Source organism: Homo sapiens, chromosome 14, assembly GCF_000001405.40.
Source record: "Homo sapiens chromosome 14, GRCh38.p14 Primary Assembly".
NCBI lineage: Eukaryota > Metazoa > Chordata > Mammalia > Primates > Hominidae > Homo > Homo sapiens.
The window spans coordinates 53,141,969-53,157,780 of NC_000014.9; the positions used below are offsets into that span (position 1 = coordinate 53,141,969).

General features: G+C 43.0%; 1 protein-coding gene and 1 long non-coding RNA gene across 11 annotated transcripts in view, besides 3 other annotated features; one reads left to right on the forward strand and one right to left on the reverse strand.

The window, feature by feature from the left end:
* The window catches only part of DDHD1 (DDHD domain containing 1), a 116,569-nt gene extending 105,214 nt beyond the window's left edge, over positions 1–11,355 (reverse strand). For all 10 annotated transcript variants that reach the window (XM_017021669.2, XM_005268105.3, NM_030637.3 and 7 more), the window contains exon 1: positions 10,293–11,355. In XM_017021669.2, coding sequence (XP_016877158.1) covers positions 10,293–11,130 — 838 coding nt within the window. In that variant the 5' untranslated portion in view covers positions 11,131–11,355. The remainder of the gene's footprint in view (positions 1–10,292) is intronic.
* Positions 10,111–10,160: an enhancer, noted in NCBI's record as "active region_8400". NCBI's record gives its function as "activates an Ori minimal core promoter by ATAC-STARR-seq in GM12878 lymphoblastoid cells {active_cell/tissue: GM12878}" and the evidence as "EXISTENCE:reporter gene assay evidence [ECO:0000049][PMID:35858748]".
* Positions 10,181–10,380: an enhancer, noted in NCBI's record as "active region_8401". NCBI's record gives its function as "activates an Ori minimal core promoter by ATAC-STARR-seq in GM12878 lymphoblastoid cells {active_cell/tissue: GM12878}" and the evidence as "EXISTENCE:reporter gene assay evidence [ECO:0000049][PMID:35858748]".
* Positions 11,201–11,530: a silencer, noted in NCBI's record as "silent region_5752". NCBI's record gives its function as "represses an Ori minimal core promoter by ATAC-STARR-seq in GM12878 lymphoblastoid cells {active_cell/tissue: GM12878}" and the evidence as "EXISTENCE:reporter gene assay evidence [ECO:0000049][PMID:35858748]".
* On the forward strand, positions 11,386–15,560 carry DDHD1-DT (DDHD1 divergent transcript). Its single transcript, NR_110062.1, has 3 exons — positions 11,386–11,763; positions 14,275–14,605; positions 15,194–15,560. It is a non-coding gene; the product is annotated as a DDHD1 divergent transcript (long non-coding RNA).

Genomic DNA, 15,812 nt, shown 5'->3' on the forward strand with positions numbered 1-15,812 from the left:
GCAAATATACCAGCCTGGCTTAGCTAACACTTATTGACCTAGGTACTGTGCTAAGCATTCTGCATATATGTACTTCAATTAAATCTAAATAATAATAATCACCTGATGATAACTCTTGGAAGCAGGAATGATCCCCATTTACAAAGGAGAAATAAATTAGGCCACAGAGATTATAACTTGCCCAAAGGCATATAACTATGGTAAATCAAGGATTCAAACTAAGGGAATTTGACAACAAAGATCTGTGTATCTGTTCCCACATGGTTTTTATTGCCAATGCTGGATAAGGAATGGCTGTCACGTCCATTGACTAAGGAGAGATTCAAGATTATTTTATACTGTTAGATTTTACACTAAGTGCCAGAACCTAGCTGCCATCCCCACTACTGCTGGTTTAACTGCAGATCAATTAAGAGGATTCTCTCATAGTTTTCATGCTAAGGTCTCCATCATAAGAAGAATTGTGGGCCATTTTTTTCTTGCCGGCATGGCAAAAAAAAAAAAAAAACAGGAACATTACTGGCTTTGCCTTAACTGAAAACTGAGCAGTCTTTTAGAAAACTGTAAAGTTCTCTATTTTATCAAAAATCCTGGTAGCTGGGAGAGTCGTCTAAATGAGCTCTGGGGATAAAGTTGGTATCTCTCACATTTGGTGACAGGATCTGCATACCAACAAAAGCAGATGCTCAAGAATTTAGAATGCTTTTATGGGAAAAAATTCCTCCTCTCCCATAGGCAATAGATTTGTAAAAGAATGACTGGTGAACTTCTCCCAGGTCCAAGCCAGGAGAACTCAAGACAGCACCAATCTTTCTGGGGCCTGAGAAACCAGACAAAAATCACAGCTTCTCATAAAGGCAGGCAACAGTTACAGAGGATCTAGGGCTGTGCCCATTTGAGAGTTGATTATCAAGATGGCAGGCCAAGAATATGCCAAGTGAGGAAACAGACTACAAATTGAAACAGGAGAGCCAAGAATGTCAAGCGGGTTGGAAATTTGGAAGAATAGGCAGGAAGATGGAGAAACAATCATAGCTAACAGTTTTATAGAACTTACTATTCATCATGGGATATTTTTAAGATCTTTAAATATTTTAACTATTAAAAACAATCACAAGAGGTAGATAGTATTATCCACGTTTTATAGAAGAAGAAACTAAGACACAGGGAATTTCAGTTGCTCAGGGGCACAGTGTACAGCAGAGCTGGGATTTGAGCCAAGTCTGGATCCAGTGGTCCTTAACATTCTTGAAACACTAAACAATGTTGCCTCCCTAGAAAAACCAGTAAGAATTGAAATGGAGGTGGCAGAGATGAAACTGATGAGCTGTGGTAAGGTGAGTGGTGATTTGAAAACAAATGCTGTAAACCATGTTTGTTAGAAATGCTTGTTCCTCGGTGCAGTAAAGAAATAGCTCTTGAACACAAATTTAATTTCCTCAGCAAGGCCATTTTTACTTTCTGCAGAAAGGGTACACTTGCCAGCAGTTCTGCCATGAGAGTGCACCAAACAAAGGAGACAGGGTCATTTATAATCTGACGCGTCCACCTTACTACTGTGTCTGGTTTCTACTGGCTGGAACGGGACCTCATATTCTGTATCTGTCCTGATTGGCTAGCGACTTAGAACTTTTTAAAAGAAGCAAAGGCAGAGGACAACAAAGGAAGGAGGAAGTAACTTGTGGAATGCTGAGAAAAGTAAAAACACCTTCAAATAAGGAAGAGGAACAGGCTATGACTTAATGCTTGCTTGGACCAGTATAAGCATGCGAGGGCAAATATTTAGGCTAAATTGTAGGATCTAAGAACATAAAGTACATTGATTTCTTTATTATGGCTAGCAGATATTTAAGAAAGTTAGCACAGGTCTTTGAATAAATTTTGCTTCTAAGAGAAGTTACTCTTTATTCTTAATTAGATGGGGAGGAAACTCTTTGAAGAGGAACTTCTACTTTACTTTTTACAGGGCTCAACCTTTGTATGTGGCCTATCATACTTCTTGATGGATTATAGGTCTTTCCATAAAAGGGAGAATCCTGCCAGGCAATTAGAATTCCAAATGATTCAACCCAGTATTCCAAGATTAGGGGCATTCACTATACATGAGACATAGTAGCACCTTTCTCCCCTACCAAAACAAATAGATAATGTAGTTTACACAAAATAGCATAACAAGCAAACCAGTAAATAGGTGAAAGAATAAACTGCAACTATATCCAACCAGATATTCTAAAATATAAAGTCCTAATGTTTTCCAGTGAAAGGCAAAGAGCGGAATCATGGGTAACTTGTGCTAATCTTAAATAAGAAGCATAATAGTGATTGGCTATACAATGAGAATGTTAAGCAAAGGCAAGTATCTTTTCCTAAACCTTACAGACAGGTACACTTGTCTCATATGGTGTTAGCCATATAAGAAAGGTTCATTTCAGCAGTAGATAGCCACATTGGAAGAATATGAGTCACTGAAAGTGCTTCAGCAACCACACTGTGCTTTCTTTCCTCAGTTTGGATGCTCAACAACGTCTTTGGTTTGAAGTAGATTCTCTCTTTCCTACAACTGTCTTTTGATTTACAGCAAAGACTTTGTTTAAAAAATAAACAAACTTGGGTGCACTTAATGTTGAAACAGATACCAGATGTTAAAATGCAAGTTTTACTGAAGGTCTAAGTAGGTGTGTCAGGTACACATGAGATACCCTGGGCCTAGTTAGAAGCAATTCTACAGAATGAGAATAACAGACTCAGCCAATAAAATATGAACTAAAAGTTGCTATTAAGTAGTTGCAGTAAGTTGTAAAATCTAAGAGTGGGATTGCATTTAACTAAATGTCTACACTAAGGCTTAGAAGTAATTCTGACTCTGCTCCCTGTGCATCATCCAAAATTACTGAGCAGAGGCTGGGAGTGGTGGCTCACATTTGTAATCCCAGCACTTTGGGAGGCTGAGGCAGGTAAATCACCCGAGGTCAGGAGTTCAAGACCAGGCTTACCAACATGGTGAAACCCTGTCTCCACTAAAAATATAAAACTTAGCCAGGCGTGATGGCGCTGGCCTGTGATCCCAGGTACTTGGGAGGCTGAGGAACGAGAATTTTTTGAACCTGGGAGGTGGAGGTTGCAGTGAGCCGAGATGGCGCCACTGCACTCTAGCCTGGACAACGGAGGGAGACTCCATCTCAAAAATAATAAAAAAAATAAAGCAGAGCATTCCATGGCACGTGTTTTAAAATCTTCAGTTTTAATAAGGCTGGGTGTGATGGATCATCCCTGCAGTCCCAGCGCTGTGGGAGGCTGAGGCAGGAGGGCTGCTTGAGCCCAGGAGTTTGAGACCACCCTGGGCAACATAGGAAGACCATGTCTCTACAAGTAATAATTTTAAAAATTAGCTGGGCATGGTGACGTGCACCTATGGACCTAGCTTCTTTGAAGGCTGAGGTGGGAGGATTGCCTGAGCCTGGGAGGTCAAGGCTGCAGTGAACTATGATCACTCCACATTATTCTGGCCTAAGCGACAGAACAAAACCTTGTCTCAAAAAAAAAAAAAAAAAAAAAAAAGTTTTAACATAGTACAACTAGTTATTTGTCCCATATCATGTTTCTCAAAGGATATCCTGCATCAATGTTCAGAAAGATAGTCCACTGAGAAGGAGCCAGAGACAATTAGTAATATCAGAGAGATTTCCATTCATATAGTTAATATTACATTCTAGCACATAAAAGCTTAACTCTCCATTATTTGGAAAAGCCATCCATTCAGATGGAATTTGTATTTCTCAAGGATTTTCCAGTATCTGAGGTCTTGGAATACAGAAGTACCAATAACAATGTCATTTCCAAAGGGTGACCTGACCCCCAGCAGTCATTGAAGAGTTTATTTAAACATACAGAGCAATGATTATAAATATTATCTAGAGATAGCTTAATGTAGTAAGACATTAAAATAAACATTAATGGGCAGGGTATGGTGGCTCATGCCTGTAATCCCAGCACTTTGGGAGGCCGAGGCAGGCAGATCACTTCAGGTCAGGAGTTCAAGACCAGCCTGACCAACATAGTGAAACCCTGTCTCTACTGAAAATACACAATTAGCCAGGCATTGTGGCGCATGCCTGCAATCTCAGCTACTTGGGAGGCTGAGGCAGGAGAATCACTTGAACCTGGGAGGCAGAGGTTGCAGTGAGCTGAGATCACGCCATTGCACTTCAGCCTGGGCAAATAAGAGTGAAACTCCATCTCAAAACAAACAAAAAGGCCGGGCGCGGTGGCTTACACCTGTAATCCCAGCACTTTGGGAGGCCAAGGTGGGTGAATTACTTGAGGTCAGGAGTTCAAGATCAGCCTGGCCAAAACGGTGAAACTCCATATCTACTAAGAATATAAAAATCAGCCAGGCATGGTGGCACATGCCTGTACTCCCAGCTACTAGGGAGGCTGAAGCAGGAGAATCGCTTGAACCTGGGAGGCAGAGGTTGCAGTGAGCTGAGATCACACTACTGTACTTCATCCAGGGCAACAGAGCATCTCAAAAAAAAAAAAAAAATTAATGAATGTATAATTCAATCTTGTTCACAATCTGTTGATGCTAAAAAGCGTACATAAAATATAATTACTTTTACACAATCATATCAATTTTGCTACTGTTTTTCTTCAGTTCTCTGGTACAGGCAAGTTCCAATTTTTTACCACCTTGAATTTCACTTGTCTCCTAATCTAGGAGTATCAGAAAGTATCTGCATTGTGGTTTTCTTCCTAGTAATCTACTCAATTGTCAGTGATTCAACACTTGTTATGGGTACGATTTTTCTTTACCAATGTAGACGCAAAAGAGTAGAACTGTAGATTATATACAGTAACTATAAAAAAATTTTTCCTTGTTCTACTTTTTAACTGAACTTTTAGAGTGTATTGTGGAAAAACAGAAGGGACTCTGTATATCTGTACCCTTCATCAATGCTGACAGTTTTTTTTTTTTTTTTTTTTTGTATAACATGCACAGTTTAAATTCCACTACACTCACGAAAAAACAAAGGTCTTAGGTCAGATTCCCTAGTTATTAGGAATTCCATAACTACCTATTTCCCAATCTCTTTTGCCAATATTTTTCATCTTAGGCTTCCTGTGAATAATACATTCTCCTTCTAGTTCTCCTCCCTGACATACACTTTCCTCCCCCAGTGTCCATAATTCTCAGAGGATTCCTTGACCAGCACATCCAGATTTTTCTTGCTCTCCACAAAAAAGGATCAACTGTAGGTTCCAGACATCAAAGTTCTCAGCAAAATACAAACTATAAAGAGTTATATGGAGATAAAAGACCCAAAATACAATTCAGAAGAGAGAAGCATACTCAAGGTCTCTTTTATAAGAAAACAGTAAAAGAGGAAAGAAAACCAGAGGTGGTTGACAGGGGTAAGAAAACCACACTGATTGCTCTAAGCATTTGCATAAAGCACTTGCAAAACATGCATTATAACATTTTGGCCATACGTAAGGTGAATCAATAACTGATATTAGATCCGTTTTTAAAGTAATGGTGCATTTCAAAGGGAAAGAGAAGCCCCAAATGCCATGGTCAGGTGCCAAGTCCTGCCATCCATACATGTCACTATCCATTCACATCCTTTTTCTGTTTTAGCAGGTCACTGTGCATTCTAAAATGCACTCTAAAGCAGACTTGATCTAGGATGAGGTGGGTTCTCAGAAAACTGGGGCCTTGGTACTGTAAACCGAGCAGTCAGGGTTCCAATGCAGTCCAAGGCTGCTTTCCAGTCCAGGCTAGTGGGAAATAACACAGTTATAAAGAGTAAAAGATAAAAGTCTCCAACACTTTTTCAGGGTCAGGCACGATCCCTATAGTCCTGCTTTATTGGAGACAGAAACTGGTCAAAAAAGAGTGCCTTCTACCCCCTGGGACTCCATTATTTTCCCATGATGCCCTGTGCCACACAAAGGATTGTTATTATGAATAACACGGTCACATCTACACCAAGTTTGTAAACATTATGTAATTAAGGGAAAAGCTCTAATTTTTTAATCTCATTTTATTGGTAATATAATCTTCCCGTTGTTGCAATATACCACAAAAACAACTGGTCTATTTCTAAAGCATCTGAAACTGAAAATGGTTTAAAATTACAATAATGCAAGTAGGCTGTATAAGTATACCAGAAGGTGGTGGGTGACAGAGGGGAAAGAAGAAATCTGTGGTTTATAGTTAAGACTCCTGGAAACTACATATAAAAATTTGGTCAATTAAATAACTTTATTAGTTTAGTCAATGAATAGAAATCACACAACTCCCTAGTGCAAACTGCACACATCACTGCCATTGGAATTGAATTATTCTTTTTTTTTTTTTGAGAGGGAGTCTTGCTCTTGTCGCCCAGGCTGGAGTGCAGTGTCACAATTTCGCCTCACTGCAACCACTGCCTCCTGGGTTCAAGTGATTCTCCTGCCTCAGCCTCCTGAATAGCTGGGATTACAGACACTCGCCACCACGCCTGGCTAATTTTTGTACTTTTAGGAGAGACAGGGTTTCACCATGTTGGCCAGGCTGGTCTCGAACTCCTGATCTCAGGTGATCCACCCACCTCAGCCTCCCAAAGTGCTGGGATTACAGGCATGAGCCACCACGCCTGGCCTAGAATTGCTGAATTATTCTAAGCTCATGAAATATCTCTAGAATGTTCCATATGCCTTCCCATCTGCTATTACTGAATGCTTTGGCCACTTTCTTGCCAATGTTCCTTACAGACATTCTTTCACCTCTGATGAGGTACTGAGTAATAACAAGAAATTGTGGGCACTCAACAACTGTGCACTGGTTAACCTTACTAACCTGTATGTGAACTAAAAATAAGGTGTATAGTTTTTGTGAGACCCACATATAGTTAACACCTAGTACAATGTGCCAACCACTGTAATAAGGATGTTACATATAATAATCCTCAAAACAAGTCTATGAAGTGAGTACAAACAGGAAGAACACTGCAAACAAGAGAGTTCACTTAACCATTACTCAGCAATGATTAGTTTTTATCTAAAATGTCCACATGCAGCCAGGAGAATATCTAAACATACAATAAAACAAAAATGTTTACTACGATATTTTTTCATATGTAATAATATTGCTCCTCATTAATAGAAGACAAATTCTGTTCTCCTTTCTGATTCATGTACCCCAAATTAGTTCAAATTTTATCTGCTAGTCAAGTTCAAAAGGAAGAATAAAATAAAATCTTTCTTTTAGAATAGGTATAGCTAACTTGTTGGCCTTGACACCCAGATGCAGTGGGCTAAATTAGGCCACAAAAATCTAAATGGCCAATGGATTCATACCACCATTCTACATAGGAACTTACTGGACATTTTTTTTCAAACACTTTTATTACCACTAACCAGACAGTTTCCAAAACAGCTAAAAAGGAAAAGTAAAATGGGGGCAAGGTCAAAAGCTGCAACGTATAGTATGAGTTTTTCTATTTGAAGAAAGGCTGAAGAACCCATACGGGGACTGGACCCTCCTAGAAAGTGTGAAAACTTACACACAGAGACTTAAGAAACCAATTAAAGTTATATGAGATTTTGTGAGAAATGGCAAATTACAGGATAGACAAAAAGCACTACTGTGTTTTTATTATAGCTTATACAAGGGCTTGGACATCCACAGGATTGTATCTTGTAGAGAACTATTTAGAAAATGCTAAAATATAGATAAAAATAGGTGTTGCTCTTATGCTAGTTATAAGCTATAATTGGCCTAATGGCTATTTGCTTTAGGAAAGAAGGTTGGAGAAAGGGAAGTCCACATTACCTTTAGGTTAACTTCTGTAGGCTCCCACCAGTTTTCACCTGATTTATGACACTAGCATTCTACTGATATTCTGCTTCCAACTCTCCAGCTCAACTTTTGCATTGTCATTAATCACATGTAAGTATAAAGAACCTTCTACTGTTTGGTTCCTCATTACTCGCAGGATAAAGGCCAAACTCCTTAGCACTGCATATCTACCCTGTCTCTTTTCCAGCTATTGTCCCAAATGCGCCATTCATGTGCAGGTGCTCCCTTCACAATCTCCATCCTGTCCCTGACCAAACACCATCCCTCACATACTTTGGTCTCTGTGGTTGGTCAAAGCCCAAACCCACCTCATGTGTCACAGTGCCTGCAGGTGTAGACCTCACTTCCTTAAAATGCCACGCAGTTTCAGACCTGTGTCCTTGTGTATGTGCCCCATCTAGCTGGAATGCCCTTCCCTCTATTTCTCTGCTTCATTAAATTCATCCTGTAAGACTCTGTCTTAAATTTTCTGGGACGCTTTCCTGATACCCTCACCCTTGGATGGGTCAGAAGCTCTTTGCATACTGCACTGTATTCCCCCACTAGACTAATGAATGAACTGCTTCATCACTTTCTAGCTAAGTGGCCTTGGACAAGTTCATTAATTTCGCTGAGCCCATTTCTTCATGTATATAATGTTGGTATTAATTTGCTATCACTGTAAAATAATCAATGTCAAAAATCACTTTGTAAACAGTGAAGTACCACGCAGGCATTAACAATTTTATCAAAAACCAAGAGAGCACACAGTATTCTTGGTGAATATACTTCAGTTTAATCTAAGGGTAAGATTCATCTCTTGGTTTCCGTCCCCTCTCCAAGGATACCCTGTATTTTTATCCAACTTTCTGACTCCACTAAGTCTTGGTACTTCTATCTTCAGGAAAAAAAATCTATGATTATGTTTAAGTCATTTGAAGGAAACACCGAGTGGGAAGCTCTGAAAGGGTAAGGATTTTCCTTTTCCCCATCTTTCTTAATGCCTTCACAAGAGTACCGTTATGCACATATAAATATTCTGAATATGAAAGAACTGAATGAATATAAACATACCCTGCCTTTAGTGAGTATATAATCTAAAAAAGTGAATGATGTAACAGATCTCACTAAATCTGACCTTATAAAAATGGTAATGAATGCCTTTAGTATCATCTTAATGTGCAGTAAGAAATTAAATTTCCTGCTATTATTTTATTTGGTGATTTGACACATGTTGGAATTGCTATCTTAGTAAGTCATGCTTAACATATGAATGTTTTAACATTATCAGAATCACTGATGCAATTCAATACCTAGTTATTGAATATATATTGCACTAGGCCCTATCAGAGTACAAAGATAAAGGTGACGGGCTCTGCCGATGGTAAGGTCCTAACATACAGAAAGGAAGCTGTCATCAATCCATCTAATAGAGGGCAGAGTGTTGTATGGAGGATCTAAAGGTTGTCACAATCAATGAAGACATCTAAGTTAGGGCATTGGGCCCACGAAAATTAAAAGTGTATATTACATATTATAATACTGGTGGTCAGTAACTTCTGTGACTATTGAATATCTCCTATATATTACATACGTAATATTTGCTGCATGCACTGGCAGATATTTACGGTCACCTTCCTCCTATTCTAACTATAAACCCGTCTGTGTTGTTGTCTAATAAATACTGTTAACACTCATATCACACGTAAGTACCAACCATAGTTCCAAGCCCTTGAAGTATATTTTCTAATTTACTTTCACAACAATCCCGTGAGGTAGGTACAATTTCTCCCCTTTTACAAATGAGGAAGACGAGGCATAGAAATGGTAATTTTTCAAGGTTAAGATGCAAACACAAAAATATGTAAATGAGGACCTAAGAGACAGAATCCAGTATTCCACCGAGGGAGCGGAGCCACTTGCCAGAGCTGCTTCACGCAGTGCTTTCCACCTCTCCGAACACACCCAGTGGGAACAACCTATCTCCTTTCCCTCCAGGGATTCTTTTACTTTTCCTGAACCCATAACTAAGCTGTTGATTCTCGAGCAGATCCTCTCAAACCTTCCTACTCCAGAAGACGTGCCGCTATTTAAATCATAGGCTGTTTAGGGTAAATGAGACAGAACCAGATCCCCAGGTGGACAAAGCTGGTAGGATCACGAAATTAAACCTCGGGCTGCGGATCCGGTCCTGGATCACTTCCAGGGGATGGCAGCAGCACCCGGCTCACCCAGGAGGCGCTACCCCCGAAGGTATCCAGTCCTCCTGACCCCAGGCAGCTTGGGTTTTGCCATCTGCTCGTTTACCCTTCAGCTGCCGACGCTCCCTGCTCAATCTCCATCCTGCCCCAGCCAAACGCCAGGCCTCACGCGCCTCCCTCTTCGCGGCGACCAGTCCCAAACCCACACCGGTGCGCATCGGCCCATGCAGGGGCAGCCCGTCCTGCCCTAACCCCGGCCCGCTACTCACGGTTCCAGTACACCGGGTAGCACTCTCCTTGGGTCACATCCACCTCGTAGAGGCCGCCCCGCACGCACACAGGCTCGATGTTCACAAGCTCCACCATCTCCGGCTCGTGCCCCGTCGTACTCTGGCAGAAGCCGCAGGCGCGGTCCTCATCGTCATCTTCTCCGGAACTGGAGGCTGGGCCCGTGGGGGAGCACACATGGTCGCCGTCCCGGTCCCCGCCCTGGGGCCGGGCACCCGTGGTCTGCAGCAGGGTCCGGAAGGCGAGCTCGATGCGGAGCGAGTCGTAGCCGATGAAGGGCTTCCAGGTCTTCTTGTCCTCCTTGTAGAACCAGCGTACCTCCTCCGGGCCCAGCTCCGTCACTACCTCATAGCGGTGCCGGGCCGCCGGGCCGCCAAGCCGGGTACGTTTCCTTTCCCCGGGGGACCCTCCTGTCGCGCCGCCGCCCCCCGAGTTCGTCGGGACCAGCGGAGGCTGCTGCGGCGGGTGCAGCGACAAGGAGCTGCCGCCGCCGCCGCTCTCACCCTCGCTGTAGTAGCGCAGCGAGGAGCCCGACTCGGCGGAGCTGAAGTCATAGTTCTCGTCACTGAGGCAGGGGTCCAGCGCGAGGTGGTGGTTGTGGTCGTCGGTGCCCGGCGCCAAATGCAGCCCGGGTTCCCCGCGCAGCAGGGCCAGGGGCACGTCGCCGTCGTCCGGGTCCCCGCCGGGCAGGTGCTCGAAGCAGCAGACGCCGCCGCCGAACGCTGGCCTCGCGTCTGAGCCCAGCTCCCAGGCGCCGCCGCCGCCGCCTCGGCCGTTATGCTCGGGGCTCCGTGGGGACCCGCGGCCCGGGTAATTCATGCTGTGGAGACGCCGCCGGCTGTCCGGCGGCGCGCGGAGCCGTGACCCCCAGCGCTTCCGCCACACATTCAACGCCGCCGCCCTCTCCACCCGAAGTTTCTAATCTTTCAAATCCCGACCCGAGCTGCGGCGGCAGCGGCGACCGCTCCGCCCCCACGAGACCCGCAGCCGCCGCAGCTGCGTTCTGCCGCCGGCCCCATTGTCACGCAGCCCGACGTAGGCGGTGCTTCGGCCCCCGCCCCGCCCCCCGGCCGCGTGCGCCGCCCCGGAAGCCCGGGCTGCACCGGCGCCGCGCGCGGGGTTCCCCCCTGCCCCTCTGGCTGGGAGGGCAGGGTGGTGTCAGGTCGCCCGCCGCTCTTGGGCCTCCTCGGCTCCCTTCCTCCTTCCTTGCGGTCTTCATGCACAGCTGCCTCGGTCCCCCGCTTCTGGAATTCACAGCCCAGATGTGGATAGGCTTTACCCCACTCATCCTTACAATGTGGGTCATGAGCCCAGAGCCTTAAGCTACGTGTTAGGAGGGCCCCAGGATGTAGGATTCAGCATTGCTCTTTTTGACCTTAGGCCCTACTGCGGCCTCGCCTGGACGTTTTGTCACCTGGCCCTGGTGCCTCCAGACAGAACCAGGACGCATAGGTGGGTGGATACGAGGGCACTCCACCCCACACCCATCACTCACCTTGGTGTCACCACTCCCACTGGGAAACTGGAATCTAAACCTTGCTTCATATGCCATCTCATATTATTACTTATCTTTTGATGCTTGGATTTCCTGTTTTCTCAACCTCATTGCTAGGCCCTTGATGGAAACCAAGTCCATGTCAGCCTCTCCCACACAGTGGGTGCGCAATCAGTCTTAGTTGATTATAATGATGTCAAGTCCAACCAGCTGTGGTAAAGAGTGTTCGATTGAGAGGTAGAAAACAACCAGGTTCTAGATTTAGCTTTGCTAACCATCCACAGGCAAATCACATAATCTTCCTGATCTTTTTGGTTTCCTCATCTGTAAAATTAAGATTCTTGGACCAGATGATATCTAAAGTTCCTTCTAGCAATGGAATTCTATGAACTTTAAGGTTTCTTCCAGATTTTTATGCATCTCTGATTCTGTAACTCATATTCTGGGATCAAGTTGAATACAGAGGCTCCCTTATGTGGGTCTTTTTTATTTAAAAAAAATTATTTTGTAAGCACATCACCCTATGTTGAGAATCCAGAGAAAAACCATCTCCAACCTCAGTGTTTTCATTTTAAGAATAGACAGTCTTCACTATTTCTTTTACTCTCTGGTGGAATCAGATTGGTAGGGCAATTTTTCTTGCTCCTGAGATGTAACCTGTCAGACATTATTACTCTGTCATTATTTAAATCAAGACTATCTGAAGTTTGTACAGGGCCTTTGTAGGAATTTGAAAAAAGGCATTGCTTCCTGTGGGCAGATACAGAGCGGTGTTGGAGTTGATGGCTTGTCAAGTAGAATACAGGCTGGATTTTCTGCCCCAATTAGTGCCCTTAGCTGGTTAACCTTGTGCAGTGAACAACCTATCCAACTGTATACTGCAGCTCTGACTGAAAGCATCTAAGATCAGGACCCTCTTTACCACTCAAAAAAAATTTCTGAGTGCCTGCTTCCCAGTTGCTCCTCCAGTATTTCTATTGACAATATGCAGCATATGATATTGGGTATGGGCTTTGGTCTGTTTACTAGCTGTAAAAGCATTCATTCTACAGGGTTTGAATAGGTGTCTGGCCACCTATATGCCAGGCACCTCTATGCTAACTTCTACTATAAGAGAGAATGGGAGAGAGTTCTTTCTTTCTTCAAGGAACTTACAGCCTAGAGGGGGATACAGACAAGTAAACAGATACATTATATTATAGTACAGTATGAAAAGTACTATGAAGGGGATTATAAATAAGGAATATCACAACATTTAAAATATCTCTATTCCTTTATGTTTCTTGATAGAATGTAGCCTAACTATATAACTATCTGGTCAGATTATTTTGGCCAGATTTTAACTCTTGACTACACAATTTCCGTTAACATTATCCTCTGTTAAAAAAAAAAAAAAAAAAAAAAAAAAAAAAAAAAAGAAGTACTAAGGCCGGGCGCGGTGGCTCACGCCTGTAATCCCCGCATTTTGGGAGGCCAAGGCGGGCAGATCACGAGGTCAGGAGATCGAGACCATCCTGGCTAACATGGTGAAATCCTGTCTCTACTAAAAAAAAATACAAAAAATTAGCTGGACGTGGTGGCGGGCACCTGTAGTCCCAGCCACTCGGGAGGCTGAGGCAGGAGAATGGCGTGAACCCGGGAGGCGGAGCTTGTAGTGAGCCGAGATCACGCCACTGCACTCCAGCCTGGGCTACAGAGCGAGACTCCGTCTTGGAAAAAAAAAAAAAGTACTTTCTGCTTTGCATTGAATGAATGTTTCTATTACTTTTAAGTGTGCTTATTTGGTTATTTTGAGAAGATTATCCTCTTGTGGTTCACTGGGGAAATGCCACACTCCTTTTAGGTAGAGTGATCATTTTTGAAGGAAATGTTGATTCTCAACACAACCCAGGTGGCAGAAGAAGGGAATCCTAGATTCTCTGCTGACCTGGTTATCTTGGTCTAGAGCCAGGTGTGTGTAATCTTTTGGCTTTCCTGGGCCACATCGGAAGAAGAAGAATTGTCTTGGGTCACACATAAAATACACTAACACTGATGATAGCTGATGAGCTTAAAAAATCACGAAAAAATCTCGTACTGTTTTAAGAAAGTTTATGAATTTGTGTTGGGCCACATTCAAAGCCATCCTGGGCTGCATATGGCCCATGGGCTGCAGGTTGGGCAAGCTTGGTCTAGACCTTGTTGAGGGGAGATGTCAATCAACATTTGTGGGCTGAGATTGCTTCTGCCCCTTGGAAGTGAGCTTGGGCTATGGCAGACCCATATACTGGGTCCCAGGCTGACAGTGCTCAGAAGATATTTGAGAGCACAATATCTAACTTCATGTGACTGCATGTGTTTATTTCCTTTTTACTCCCTAGCCATCATAGCAAGGCAAAGGTCATGATGTTGTTTTTCTCAACTTTTCTGCTTTAAAAAGTCATGTTTTATCTAATGCCTCCTGTTCCTGCTCTCCTTTTGTTTTCTAGATCATCTTCTCAGGTAATATGATCCTGACCAGAGGGAGATGGGTTGGGGCATCTATTCTAGTCCCCACCTGCCAGAATAGGTGTCAGGTGGCTCCTCACCACTCTACATCATTAGTGTGTACAATGGACACAGCATTATCTGAACTTCCATGGCTCTATGTAAAGCATTCCATTGTATTTTAATAATTACGCAAGACAAGGCCTCTTTCACATAAGGCAAATAAGTGTGATTGATTCAGACTTCTGGCATTACTGGGCCATGCTGCCGCAAGAAACAGGTGCATGTGGAATCAAGCCTGACGGAGTTATTGGTGTGCAGAAAAAAAAAAAGGTAAGCCAGTTGGTTTGTACTACAAAAGACTAAAACAGCTCGTCTGTGTATCCTACCACCTTCCTGTCCCCATTAGGCATATGGCAAGAGCTATCTGGTAACAACGGCCATCTCCTCCCGCGTCTCAAAGATGTTTTCGTGCAATTGTGTGCTGTCTTTCCCTTTTCTTCTTTTCTTAAAGTTTGTCCCTGTTATTCATTTTATTATTTTAGAGATAGGGTCTTGCTGTTGCCCGGGTGAAGTATAGTAGGCCAATCCTAGCTCACTGCAGCCTTGAACTCCTGGCCTCAAGTAATCCTCCTGCTGCAGCCTCCCCAGTAGCTAGTATTACAGGCACAAGCCACCATGTTGTTCATTTTAACCTGTCTTCACGTTTGTAACATTAGGGAATGCTTGATGCCAAGTAATTTATCCTGAGCCAACATCCCACACCTGCACTTGAAATAGCTTCATCCAAAGTGTATGATGGAAGACCCCTATTTAGAATGAAAGAAAGAGGGCAGACATAACCATGCCCCCATCTGCTGTATCTCGTGTTCGATAAGCCATCCACCACAACTTAAATTTTATTTCACTTTTTATTTTTAGGATTACTACTTATCTGGTTTTTAAAGATGAGAGTGTTTTATCTGATGCCCTGACCAAATGAAACAACAACCTAGACTGAAGCAGGGAACATTCGCTGGACATTTCAGGCACTGTGCTAGGCTCTACAGTGAAGCATTCACAGTCTAGTGGTGTCTATAAATAAAACCAAAATGCTAACTTTTAAATTCCTATGAGGAATATAATTGTAATGCCACTATAGCTGCATCACTACCATGGGGTCATTCTCTCCCTACAGACAGATCAATAAACAAAATCAAATTACAATCCAAAGGAAGCAAGGTGGGCAGAAATAACGTAGGGATTCATGATGAATAAAGTCATTAATCCTTCCATTTATTCATTCAACAAATATTTATTGTCTAGTGCTATTGTGTTTTTATTTTTAACTGAAATTACACTTAAAATTTAGAATTATGAAATGCATTTATTTAAAGATTTATAAGAGGCCTATCCACAAAACCATACTTACCAAAACCCTATAAAAATGTTTTCTATTCCTTTTGGAAATAAAGGTCAGTGGTGGTGAAGGTATATATTCAAATGAAAGAAAGTATAAATCAATACAACATTGATGCATACTCTGTGGAGGCAGCCACAA